Consider the following 13,425-nt stretch of genomic DNA (forward strand, 5'->3'; position numbering starts at 1 on the left):
ATCTCAAAAAAAAAAAAAAAAAAAATTCATGGTCCTGCAATTTCATTTCTAGGTATCTATCCCAAATAATTGAAAACAGGAATTCAAACAGATAGTTGTACACCCACTGGGTTCATAGCAGCATTATTCACAATAGCCAAAAGGTGAAAACAACCCAGATGTTCATCCACAGATGAATGGATAAACAAAGTGTGGTATATACATACAATGAAATAGTATTCTGCCCTAAAAATGAAGGAAATTCTGCTATATGCTACAACATAGATGAACCTTGAAAACACTATGCTAAGTGAAATAAGCTAGTCCCAAAAGGACAAATACTGTATGATTCCACTTACACGAGGTACTTACTAAAAGTAGTCAAATTCATAGAGATAGAAACTAGAATGGTGGTTGCTAGAGGGTAGGGGAAGAGTGGGGAACTGGGAGTTATTGTTCAATGGGAACAGTGTCAGTTTTGCAAGATGAAAAAAGTTCTGGGGGTGGATGTTAGTGATGGTAGCACACAGTGGGAATGTACTTAATGCCACTGAACTGTATACTTAAAAATGGTAAATGTCATACTACATATATTTTACCACAATAACAAAACATTTTTAAAAAGATGTCTAGTTTTTAGAAATGATATGAGGGAGAGAGAAATAACAGAAAAAACTGAGACTGTAAGTGAAGGGAACAGACATTGCTTGATGTCTGAAAAATACGGTAATCCTCACACTATCCTCCCACATAGCCATCATTTTCTTAAACAGGGTGTCTGGTTTACTCTCCTGTCTCCACCTTTTTTCCCCAAAGTCTCTGTGTTTCAGGGACAGGAGCTGATGGCCTCATAGAGCCAGTCACAGACAAGATTGAAAAGTAGGGCCAGGCCAACTGGCTCACACCTGTACTCCCAGCACTTTGGGAGGCGAGGTGGGTGGACCACCTGAGGTCAGGAGATCGAGACCAGCCTGGCCAACATGGTGAAATCCTGTCTCTACTAAAAATAAAAAAAATAGCTGAGTGTGGTGGCATGTGCCTGCAGTACCAGCTACTTGGGAGGTTGAGGCAGGAGAATCACTTGGGAGGCAGAGGTTGCAGTGAGCTGAGATGATGCCACTGCACTCCAGGCTGGCCAACAGAGTGGGACTCCATCTCAAAAGAAGAAAGAAAGAAAGAAAAAGAAAGAAAGAGAGAGAAAGAAAGAAAGAAGAAAGAAGGAAGAAAGAAAGAAAGAAGAAAGAAGGAAGAAAGAAAGAAAGAAAAAAGAGAAAGAAAGAAAAAGGAAGGGAGGGAGGGAGGAAGGAAGGAAGGAAGGAAGGGAGAGGGAGTGAGGGAGGGAAGATTGAGAAGTAGGGAGAGCTACCCTTCCATGCGAGTCAGCTAGGCTTGGGTTGCTCCCCCAGGGAAAGTTCCATACTTGTCCTGTCTTTCTCTCTTCCTAACCAGACCTAACCAGTAAGCAGCTCTTCTCATTTTTCTGATGAGAAAACTAAGTCCCACAGGAGAAAGTGGAGCATGTACACCGACCAAGGGAAGGAGGCAGGAGGAAGGGGCTGACACTTCCCACACAGACCTCTGGTTCTTCCAGTCCGTCCTGCTGATTTTCACCGCAGCCCAGGCACTCCCCATAGCTACCTAGAAGTCAGCTTTGTCTTGGGAAACACTCCCAGAGTGCTCTTGTAGAACTCAGCAGAAGCTCTTCGTGGAACATCACTTGGACGAAGGCCAATAGTCGCCTTCATCAGAAGTTAAAAATACCAACGGTCATTTATAAACACGTTCTTCACTCAACATAGCAGATGTTAGTTTGCAAACACAGCCTTTTAAAGACAGACAAGGCCAGATTACTCCTCCCCCAACTCCAAAAAGCAGGTAAAAGTATTTTAAACAAGTTATTTCTGCCAATTACCTGTCTGATTTGTTGGTTCACTTGTTTATATGTTATCTATCCCCCAAGGAGTATTTTTGTGGCTTGCAGAAATGTGCACAGTAAAACAGGATTTTTTAAATTTTATTTTTATTTTTTTTTTAGAAAAGAGAGAGAACATCATCACAATGAAGAAAGCCTGGTGCAGTAAATCAATGTGGTGCCAGGGATGACTTGCGTATATACAACGTTTGCCATGGAGTCCTGTGCTCTTTGCAGAGGTGAGATTCAGGTTTGACTCTGAACTTCTCAGCAGCTGAAACCAAAGTAGACAATGGCATCAATAACAAGAGCCACACAATCATTAGAATAAAAAAATCCCAGCTATCAGGAGAAACAGAAACTTTCCAGGAACTTCTGTTCTTATCACTCCCAGGAGGCCCTTGTGTGATATAAAAGGGACAATACCTTCAAAATCACTCCTGCAATAAAAACAATAGGTGGTTTCAAGAGGTTCATTCTGAGTGTGTCTCTCAAAGGAGTAACCAAGATGTAAAGGTAATTAAGGAATCTCCAGGAATGGCCAGGAAAGTGCCGTCAGGGTACATAGCTCCCAGACAACCAGACATTGCTCAAAGACAATGTTTTAGGTCATCAAATGGATTGCAAACAGTGCAATACTCCCTGGCTATTATTTTCCACAGCAACACCTTTGACAAGAAGTACCTCACTTTGCCTCAGGGACTTGTCTATGAAACGCTGTGCCAACTCCTTACCTAGATCGCGTCCCTGGGTCTTGCAAGCCTTAAATTCAGCTTTTGTGAGCTAGTTCCTTTCTTGCACATTGTATTGGCTCAGGCTCCTGCATAGTCTGTGAGGCAAACCCCCTGAACTGCATAGTTGTCTTGGAACTGGCAGTCTTGCAATGCTTTGATCATACTGTCAACTAAGATATTCAAAGACACTGCTCAGAGAAGGCTCAGCCTCTCTGTCTCTTGACAAAGAGATTTGTGCCAATGTCAAGTCTACTTTCTCTAGTAGGCCCTGAATTGCTTTGTTATCTTCCCAGCCGTGGAAGTGATAAGATTTGGAACCAGAGCAGATATGTTTACAGGAGTGGAAAACCATAGCAATTTTTTCTTCTGCCACCTTCATTAACGTGAACAAAAACGTTTTCATGCAAAATTCAGAACAGAAACCATTTTTTTTGTTTTCTAATTTTGTTTAATCAGCGTTTTGTAGATCAGTAGTCATTAAGAAAAGTTCAATGTGAGGCCAGACTTGGGCATTTTGTTCTGCCCTGCACACTTGCTGTTTTGAAGGGCCTGATCCTACATCGCCTATGGGGCTCTGAGCGGTGGGGGGAGAATGACCAGACACCACCCATTACCGGGAGGATCTGAAGCAAAAGATTCTCTAGGGGCCGGGCACAATCAAAGCGGAACATCTTCTTAAAAGGACCCTGATCTTAAAAAGCTTGGCTGGAGAAGACTGATCAACAGGTATTAATTTGTCTTTGGGCCTTCCGAGGGTTGAAATGAGGGTCTTAAAGGGGCCATTGCCTCTTCTACAACAGATACTGGGTTGAATCAAAGAGCATATAACTGGCTACCAGCAAATGCGATGGCTCCCATCCCACCCCTCACAAGGGGCATGGGAATCGCATTGTTGGTTCCACTTGGCCCCCTTAAAGCAGCACTTTCACATGGGACCCACCTTTTGTGCTTTGGGTGGTCAGGAGCAGGTTGTGCAAAGGGGTCTGTACCATGACTTTCCTCAGCTGTCTGCATGGGCCCATCATGTAGACATTTTTATTGTGGTGACTTCACAAAATCACCAAGTTTGAAGAAAAAACACTTATAGTTTGAACAAATGAAAATTCTGGCACATTAAAAAATTCATCTGTAGGCGCAAGCTTCAATATACAGGCATCCCTTGAAGATATTGAGGGTTCAGTTCCAGACCACCACAACAAGGCAAATATCACACTAAAGCCAGTCACATGAATTTTTTGGTTTCCCAGCACACATGAAAATTATGTTTACACTATACTGTAGTCTATTAAGTGTGCAGTAACATTATGTCTGAAAAACCAGGCTGGGCCCAGTTGCTTACACCTGTAATCCTAATACTGTGGGAGGCCAAAGTGGGAGAATCACTTGAGCCCAGGAGTTTGAGGCTGCTGTGAGCTATGATTGTGGTTCTGTACTCCAGCCTGGATGAGAGTGAGTTGCCCTGTCTACAAAAGATACAAAAAGTTAGCTGCGTGTGGTGGTGCGCACCTGTAGTCCTAGCTACTCAGGAGGCTGAGACAGGAGGATCGCTTGAGCCCAGGAGTTCAAGGCTGCAGTGAGCTATGATCATGCCACTGCCTTCCAGCCTGGGCAACAGAGCAAGACCCCATCTCTAAAAAAAAAAAAAGTACATATCTTAAAAATATTTTATTGTTAAGATGCTAATGATCATCTGAGCCTTCAGTGAGTTGTAATCTTTGCAGGTGGAGGGTCTTGCCTTGTGTTGATAGCTGCTGACTGATCAGGGTGGTGGCTGCTACAAGCTGGGGAGGCTGTGGCAATTTTTAAAAATAAAACAACAATGAAGTTTGCCAGATCAATTGACTCTTCCTTTCATGACGGATTTCCCTGTGGCATGCGATGCTGTTTGATAGCATTTTACCCACAGTAGAACTTCTTTCAAAATTGGAGTCAATCCTCTCAAACTCTGTCATTGTTTTATCAACTAAGTTTATGTCATATTTCAAATCCTGTGTTGTTATTTCAACAATGTTCACACCGTCTTCACCAGAATTAGATTCTATTCCAAGAAACCACTTTTTTTGCTCAACCATAAGAAGCAACTTCTGATCTGTTCAAATTTTATCATGAGATTTTAGCAGTTTAGTCACATTTTCAGGCTTTTAATTCTGGTTCTCTTGCTGTTTCCTCCATGTCTGCAGTGACTTCCTCTTTTGAAGTCTTAAATCCCTCAAAGCCATCCATGAGGGTTGGAATCAACTTCTTCCAAACTCTTGTTCATGTTGCTATTTTGACCTCCTTCCACAAATGTCCTCAATGACATCTAGAAAGGTGAATCCTTTCTAGAGGTTTTCAATTTACTTTGCCCAGATCCATCAGAGGAATCACTGTCTATGACAGCTATACTCTTACAAAATGTCTTTCTTAAATAACAAGACTTGAAAGTTGAAATTACTCCTTGATCCATGGGTGCAGAATGGATGTTGTGTTGACAGTCATTAAAACAATATGAACCTCCTTGTATATCTCCATCAGAGCTCCTGAGTGACCAGATGCATTGTCAATGAGCAGTAAAAAATATTTTGAAAGAATCTTTTTTATTATTCTGAGCAGTATGTCTCAACAGTGGGCTGAAAACATTTAGTAAACCATGCTGTAAGCAGATGTGCTGCCATCCAGGCTTTGTTGTTCTATTTACACAGCACAGGCAGAGTTGATTTCACATAATTCTTCAGAGCCCCAGGATTTTTGAAATAGTAAAAGAACATTGGCTTGTCTCCAGCTGCATTAGCCCCTAACAAGAGAGTCAGCCAGTCCTTGGAAGTTTTGAAGGCAGGCATTGATTTCTCTCTAGCTATGAAAATCGTGAATGGCATCTTCTTCCAAGAGAAGACTGTTTCATCTATAACACAGTTCTGTAGTTTAGTGTAGCCACCTTCGTCAATTACCTTAACTAGGTCTTCTGGGTACTTTGCTGCAGCTTCTACAGCACTTGCTGCTTCACCTTGCACTTTTATGTTCTGGAGGAAATTCCTTTCCTTAAACCTCAGGAACCAAACTCTGCTAACTTCAAACTTTTCTTCTGCAATTTCCTTACCTCTCTCAGGCTTCATAAAATTAAAGAGAGTTAGGGGTTGCTCTGGATTAGGCTTTGGTTTAAGGGAATATTGTGGCTGGTTTGATCATCTCTCCAGACCACTCCAGCTTTCTCCTTATCAACAATAAGACCGTTTTGTTTTCTTATCATTCATATGTTCACTGGAGCAGCACTTTTAATTTCCTTCAGAACTTTTCCTTTGTATTTACAACTTAGCTGTTTGGCCAAGAGGCCTAGATTTTGGCTCATCACGCCTTCCTCACTAAGCTTCATTTTTAGCTTTTGATTTGGAGTGAGAGACATGCAACTCTCCTGAATCTTTCACTCAAACACTTTTTAGGCCATTATAGGATATTACTTGGACGATTTTCTTTTTCTCTTCTTCTTTTTCTTTTCTTTCATTTTTATTTTTATTTTATTTTACTTTTTATACAGGGTCTGGCTCTGTCCCTCAGGCTGGAGTGCAGTGGTGTTATCATAGCTCACTGCAGCCTTGAACTCCTGGGCTCAAGTGATCCTCCTGCCCCAGCCTCCTGTGAAGCTGGGACTACAGGTGTGCACTACCATGCCTGGCTAATTAAAAAAAAAACTTTGGCTGGGTGCCGTGACTCACACCTGTAACCCCAGCATTTTGAGAGGCTGAGGTGGGCGGATCACTTGAGGTCAGGAGTTCAAGACCAGCCTGGCCAACATGGTGATATCCCGTCTCTACTAAAAATAAAATTAAAAAAAAAAATAGCTGGATGTGGTGGTGCGTGCCTGTAATCCCAGGAGACTGGGAGACTGAGGCAGGGGAATTGCCTGAACCTGGGAAGCGGAGGTTGCAGTGAGCCAAGATCACACCACTATACTCCAGCCTAGGTGATAGAGCGAGACTCCATAAAAAAAATTTTTTTTTTTTTTGTTTTTTGTAGAGACGGGGGTCTCACTATGTTGCCCAGGCTGGTCTTGAACTCCTGGGCTCAAGTGATTCCCCCACCTCAGCCTCTCAAAGTGCTGGGATTATAGGTGAGAGCCACTAATTGGCCTAATTTCAGTGTTGTTTTGTCTCAGATAATAAGGAGGCCTGGTGAGGGGGAGAAGGATGGGAAATGGCAAGTTGGTAAAGCAGTTAGAAAATAAACATTTATTGATTAAGTTTGCCATCTTGTATAGGTGTGGTTCATGGTGCCCCCCCATGGTGCCCCCCAAAAAATCACGAGACAGATTGTAAGAATTAGCAAAATGTGACACGAAGACACAAAGTGACTACATGCTGTTGAAAAAATGGCGCCAACAGACTTGCTCAATCCAGCTTGCCACAAACCTGCAATTTGTAAAAAACACATTATCTCCAAAGTGCAATAAAAAAGGCATGCCTGTATGTAAACTGTTACAACTCTGGTGAATTTGCTTGATAAAAAAGTGTACTTTTTAAGCATTCTATACCACTGTAGTAAACAATAATGTATAGTTGCAAATAGCTAGAAGGAGAATGTTGAATGATTGAATAATCCCAATACAAAGAAATAATAGGGTAAGATAATTAGCCTAATCTGATCACAATGCATTGTATATATCAAAATATCACTATGTACCCCATAAATATGTACAATTATTATATGTTGATTTTAAAAAGTTTACTTTTTAAAATATGATATGTGAATTTAATTTCCTAAGAAATTCTGACACTTGCTGTTCAACCCACAGGCTCCCCTGTTACAAAAACCTTCTAGTGATTTCTATTGTGGTTGTCTTGTCCATCCTTCTTCCTACTGCTCTGCATCCCATTCCTTGAGCATGGCACTTCTCAAGGCTTATAGAGAGAAGCCTCACACCTTGCAACCCATATGGGTTGGATTATATTGCCTGAGTTGAATTAAATAAGTGATAGAACATTCTTGGAGGTTTTGTGTATGTGTGCTTGCCTAGCTGAGGGATGGGTCACCTTTTCCTTCTCAGAACGTAGTAAATACCTAGATCCCTCTAGGATGGAAGATGGCGAGGTAGAGAGAACTATACGAGGCCGCCTGCCCAGCTTGTAGATGGGCCCACCTTCCAGTGCAGGGTAATGTGTGTGAATGGGCTGTGCAGGTCCCCAGAACTGGAGGAGCTGAATGAGGGGATGGAGGCTGCAAAACCTACATAAGACAGAACAGAACTACCCACCCAGGGAAGGAGAGGGCAGCCTCAGCCCCTGGGCTTTGAGGGAGGCAGCAGCTCCTGTCATTTCAGAGCATTTTCTTCATTCACCCCTTCCTGTGGGTAGGAAAAAGAGTTACCTAGTAGACTTGATCTCAAGTCAGTAATATGTCATGCTAAACCTAGGGACTTCCAGATTGGGTGGCAAAGGTCATTCTGGACACTTCTTCGCATGCTACTTCCATCCAATGAGGCCAGTCTGACTTCAGAAATCCATACCCTTTGCTTTTTGTTAACACAAATGTTTCCTTAACCTGAATCCTCTGCTTATTGGCTGTGATTAGACTTGCCTTTTAAAAAAACCTTTATGTTTTGAGCTCATTGAGATTCACATGCAATTATGGGATTCCACATGGCTTTCACCCAGTTTCATCCAATGGTAACATCTTGCATAATTATAGAATAATATCACAACCAGAAAATGGATATTGGTACAATTGATCCATCTTAGATTTTACCAGTTTTTCATGCACTCATCTGTGTGTGTGTGTGTGTGTGTGTGTATGTGTGTGAGTGTGTGTGTTTTATTGTATGCAGTGTTGTCACATGTGTAGGTTCAGGTGACCACGATCACAGTCAAGATACCAAACAGTTCCATCACAAGTGTCCCTCTTGGGTTGTTTTTTTTTTTTTTTTTTGAGACAGAGTCTCACTCTGTTGCCCAGGCTGGTCTCTAACTCCTGACCTCAAGTGATCCACCAGCCTTAGCCTCTCAAAGTGCTGGGATTATAGTCCTGAGCCACTGCGCCTGGCCTCTTGTTGCTTTTTTGTAACTGTATCTACATCCTCCCTCCACTCTTACCCCTGGCAACCACTCATCTTTTCCCCATTTCTATAATTTTGTCATTTTAAGAATGTTACATGAATAGAATCACACAGTATATAATCTTTTGTGATTGGCTTTTTTCCACTCAGCATAATTCCCTGGAGAAGTTGTGTGTATCAACAATAATTCCTTTCTTTTTATTGCTGAGTAGTATACCACATGGTATCGACGTACCACAGTTTGACCATTCATCCACTGAAGGAAATCTGGATTGTTTCCAGTTTGGAGGTACAAATTATGCTGCTACAAGCATTCCTGTGTAGGATTTTGTGTGAATATATGTATTTATTTCAGTGCAATAAGTGCTCAAGAGTGCAGTTGCTGGGTTGTGCAGTAGTTGTGTGTTTAGTTTTTCCAGAAACTACTAAACTATTTTCCATAGTGGCTGTACCATTTTACATTTCCACCAGCAATGTATGTGTGATCTAGTTAACTGCATCCTCATCAGCATTTGGTGTTGACCCTGTTTTTTATGTTAGCTGTTCTGTAGTTGTGTAGCAATATTGCAATGTGATTTTCATTTGCACTTCCCCAGTGGCTAATAATGTTGAACATCTTTTCATGTGTTTATTGACCATCTGTATATCTTCTTCAGTGAAATATCTCTTCATATCTTTTGCTCATTTTTCTAATTAGATTGACATTTTCTTGTTGACTTTTGAAAGTTCTTTATATTTTCTGGATATTAGTCCTCCATCAGATACGTGATTTGCAAATCTTCTCACAGTCTATAGCTTGTCTTTTTATCTTATTTTTTTCCAGCATTTTTTCTATTTTTATTTTTATTTTTTGAGATGGAGTCTTGCTCTGTTGCCCAGGCTGGAGTGCAGTGGTGCAATCTTGGCTCACTGCAAACTCAGCCTTCTGGGTTCAAGTGATTCTCCCACCTCAGCCTCCTGGGTATCTGGAATTACAGGAACCTGCCACTATGCCTAGATAATTTTTGTATTTTTAGTGGAAATGGGGTTTTGCCATGTTGGCCAGGCTGGTCTTGAACTCCTGACCTCAGGTGATCCTCCTGCCTTAGCCTCCCAAAGTGCTGGGATTACAGGCATAAGCCACCATGCCCAGCCTGCATTTTTTCTTTTTTTTTAAATTTTAGATTCAGGGGTACATGTGCAGTTTTGTAACCTGGTCAGATTGTGTTAAGCTGAGGTTTAGGGTATGAATGATCCTATCACCCTGGTACTGAGTATAGTACCCAGTAGTTAGTTTTTCATCCCTTGCCCCGCTTCCTCCCTTCCCTGTCTAGTAATCCCCAGTTTCTATTATTGTCATCTTTATGCCCATGAGTACCCCATGTTTGGCTCCCACTTATAAGTGAGAATATGTGGTATTTGGTTTTCTGTTTCTGCACTAATTCACCTAGGATAATGGCCCCCAGCTGAATCCATGTTGTTGTAAATGACATGATTGAGTAAGAACATCCTGCATTCCTACGCAAAGAGTTCAATGGCAATATATCCTACAACAATAAAGAAAAATGAGCAAAATTATCCTAAGTAAACTAAATAAGAAGACTTACCATGAACTGGGAAACTGTTGAAACCAAGCTGATATGTGGTTGCTAGCTGATTCCAATAGAGGCTCAGAATTAGAATATTGATCCAGAGTTTTACATTATTCATCCCTCCCTCTTGTTTCTTCTGAGCAGCAGCCAGAGATCACTGGTTGGTTCACAGGAATAGGCAGAGTTAGTCTCAATTGCAGAAATAAACCTAAAAACAACTGATGAGACTAGAATCTAATAGGTTCTTGAAACAATTTTTTTCTCTCTCTACTTTCCCATTTTTACTAAAGACAAATCATAACAGGACTGATTTGTTTGCAAAAATAAGCTATCCCCAAAAGTATATTTCCTACCTAGTTATTACACACCAAATTTCTCTCATAATATGAAGCAATTTCTGAAATCCCCAAAAGTCAAAACCATCAGATAATGCAATGCAAAATAGAGCAGAGCCTTAGACTTTGAGAGGGGTCTATCTGCTTTCCATTCCTAGGGTTCCATGAGAAAAACAGAGATTTCCCCCAAAATGAGGTCTATGGAGCTTCCTCTGTTTTTCCCAAGGAGATCCAGCTGTTACAGCTTGAATATCCACTTTTAATTAAACTGACTTTTAAGCATAGCACTCTAAAAAAAAATTCTTTTAAATCTCTTATTACCTGACTTTATCCAAGCCAAATGGCCAATATTTCTGGGTTTTGAACTTTACCAAAGGTAACCTCCTAGGTGCTCAGAAAAGGAAAATTCCAGACAGTTTGTGGATGGGAAGAGAATCAACAAATGGTAAAGGTCACACAGATATCAAACCAGAAAGAACTCATCCCCTAAGCCAGGAATTGAACCCTGGACTCAGGCTGTCATTGTGAAAAGACAAAGCCTTAGTCACTAAGCTACAGCATTGGGCAGTTTCCATTGCTCTTCCTAGAAGAAGTCTAGAGCTTGCAAAGGCTTTTAACTGCTCAAGATAATTTTTAGGGCTAACTATGACATGAACTCCATGTTTCTTGTCTGCTGGATGATGGAGACCAAGAGAAAATACCACCATGTGGTTAAAAGGTCAAGCTCCCAAGGACATGAAACAAGACGAGAGGGAAACTTCATCCAGCTTTTTCTGTTTCAGGGACCTGCAGCAAAGTTTGTTACTGAGGTCCTAAGCCCATGTTCTATCCTAAGGTACTCCTCTTTATGACAGACCGATACAGAAACACAAATTTATAGCACAAAGTATACCAGGTTTGCTATAGTCGCCACTCCACTCAGCACCCAAAATGGAACTGGCAAGGCTCAAACTTGCTCCTGGATGGACCCTGTCAGCTTTCATCCAACCTCTGACCAAGAGTTTCAACATGATGTTTCTGGGCAAGATGATCGCCCTGAATAACAGAAAAGATAAGAAAGAGAAAGGAGAGAAAGGAAGAAAAGCATTGCCGGTAGCAGGGTGGGGAGGCAAAGAGGTCAGGGAGGCCAGAAAAAGACCCATTGCAGCGACACTGAATCAAAAGTTTAGGTGGCCGCTTGTCAGTTGTGAAGGGATCTTTTCCAGCAGCTCCATCAGCTCTCAAGTTTCCCCTTTTGGGGAGGAAAAGACTCTTATGTGTCATGATCCTGTACATGTCTAATCCTGTTACGCACAGCCATCAGCAAAGAGTGCAAGGCAAATTAATCCAAAGAGAATAATGGTTAACATCCTGTAATGCCAAATCCATTTTTAGCCAAGTGGGACTTTACTGACAGGGGCCTCTAACCCCCTAAATCTTAGGAAGAACTCTAACCTTCCTAAGTTGCGTCTCAAACCCAAGTCCGGTCAACCATCCTTACCTTTTATTAAGAGGGTCCTTTAACCCACACTGTCTTAGGACTGAGACTCTAACTCCTCTAAGTTGGGCCTCTAACCCAATCCCATCTTTACCCGGGTAAAATGTACCCCAACACTTACCCAAAGTTGGCCCATTGGTGCTGCAGTCTATTTCCTTAGGGTCAGGGGTCTCTTCAGTATTGTCCCTTCATGGTCACCAGGAAGATGTTACCAGAAAAGGGTCCCAATCCAGACCCTACAAGAAGGTTCTTGGATCTCACACAAGAAAGAATTACAGTTGAATCCATAAAGTGAAAGCGAGTTTATTAAGAAAGTAAGGGAATAAAGAATGGCTACTCCATAGGCAGAGCAGCAGCATGGGCTGTTCCACTGTTGATACTTATGGTTATTTCTTGATTATGTGTTAAACAAAGGGTGGATTATTCACGAGTTTTCCAGGAAAGGGGTGGGCAATTCCTGGAACTGAGGGTTCCTCCCCCTTTTAGACCATATAGGGTAACTTCCTGACATTGCCATGGCACTTGTAAACTGTCATGGCACTGGTGGGAGTGTCTTTTAGCATGCTAATACATTATAATTAGCGTATAATGAGCAGTGAGGACGGCCAGAGGTCACTTTCATCACCATCTTGGTGTTGGTGGGTTTAGGCTGGCTTCTTTACCTGGTGCTATTTTATCAGCAAGGCCTTTGTGACCTATATCTTGTGCCGACCTTCTATCTCATCCTGTGACTTAGAATGCCTAACCTCCTGGAAATGCAGCCCAGTAGGTCTCAGCCTTATTTTACCCAGTTCTTATTCGAGATGGAGTTGCTCTGGTTCAAACATCTCTGACAGAAAGACTACGGTAGGAAAGGGAATGGAAAAAATTGATGTGCATACTTGCCACTAGGTGAAGTAACAATGTTGGGCTGTCATGTGATTCTGCAGAGTGAGGGTGGTCAGGAGTAAAACAGTGTTCAGGTGGGTGTTTGGGGAAGTTGTAGGCAGCTGGTGATTAGATTTCTCGGAAGACGTGGTCTCCCTTCAGGTAGCCTCACAGACTACAGCGGTACCAACACCTCTTGTGGGGCACCCTAACTTCTCCAGGACATGACCAAACTTGGCATTTCATGGAAGAGAAATACCAGGCCTGCCTCAAGTACTCTCCTTACTGCATTTGCCCCTCTTCAGCTTCCCTGTGAAGCTGGAATGTAACTACTTAAGTACTCAAGAGGCCTTCCACAAGAAACACAAAAGCTTTGCATTCCAGCTCTTGGTTCTCTGCCACATGACTGTCTCTAAGAATTTCTATGTTATTTTTGGAATGGAAAAACCAGACACAGTATGGCTTCTTTGAAAAGACAAGGTGATTGCTCTCCAGAAGGTTTTCAGAAAATAAACACTCTAATGCTTC

General features: G+C 41.9%; 2 long non-coding RNA genes across 2 annotated transcripts in view, besides 3 other annotated features; one reads left to right on the forward strand and one right to left on the reverse strand.

The window, feature by feature from the left end:
* LOC124902176 (uncharacterized) overlaps nt 1-2,359 on the forward strand; it is a 22,662-nt gene extending 20,303 nt beyond the window's left edge. The window contains exon 2 of the long non-coding RNA XR_007061567.1: nt 2,015-2,359. This is a non-coding gene — a long non-coding RNA (uncharacterized LOC124902176). The remainder of the gene's footprint in view (nt 1-2,014) is intronic.
* On the reverse strand, nt 1,979-12,354 carry BANCR (BRAF-activated non-protein coding RNA). Its single transcript, NR_047671.2, has 4 exons — nt 12,152-12,354; nt 11,446-11,588; nt 10,234-10,375; nt 1,979-2,165 (listed from the first exon to the last, which is right to left on the reverse strand). It is a non-coding gene; the product is annotated as a BRAF-activated non-protein coding RNA (long non-coding RNA).
* Nucleotides 12,809-13,394: an enhancer, noted in NCBI's record as "OCT4-NANOG-H3K27ac hESC enhancer chr9:71922427-71923012 (GRCh37/hg19 assembly coordinates)". NCBI's record gives its function as "activates a minimal SCP1, AML or CMV promoter by ChIP-STARR-seq in naive and primed H9 embryonic stem cells {active_cell/tissue: H9 hESC(naive and primed)}" and the evidence as "EXISTENCE:reporter gene assay evidence [ECO:0000049][PMID:30033119]".
* Nucleotides 12,809-13,425: a biological region, named in NCBI's record as "Sharpr-MPRA regulatory region 15637".
* Nucleotides 13,131-13,425: a silencer, noted in NCBI's record as "tiled region #15637; HepG2 Repressive non-DNase unmatched - State 22:ReprW". NCBI's record gives its function as "represses a minimal TATA promoter and a strong SV40 promoter by Sharpr-MPRA in HepG2 cells {active_cell/tissue: HepG2}" and the evidence as "EXISTENCE:reporter gene assay evidence [ECO:0000049][PMID:27701403]".

Source organism: Homo sapiens, chromosome 9 (genome assembly GCF_000001405.40).
Source record: "Homo sapiens chromosome 9, GRCh38.p14 Primary Assembly".
Lineage (NCBI taxonomy): Eukaryota > Metazoa > Chordata > Mammalia > Primates > Hominidae > Homo > Homo sapiens.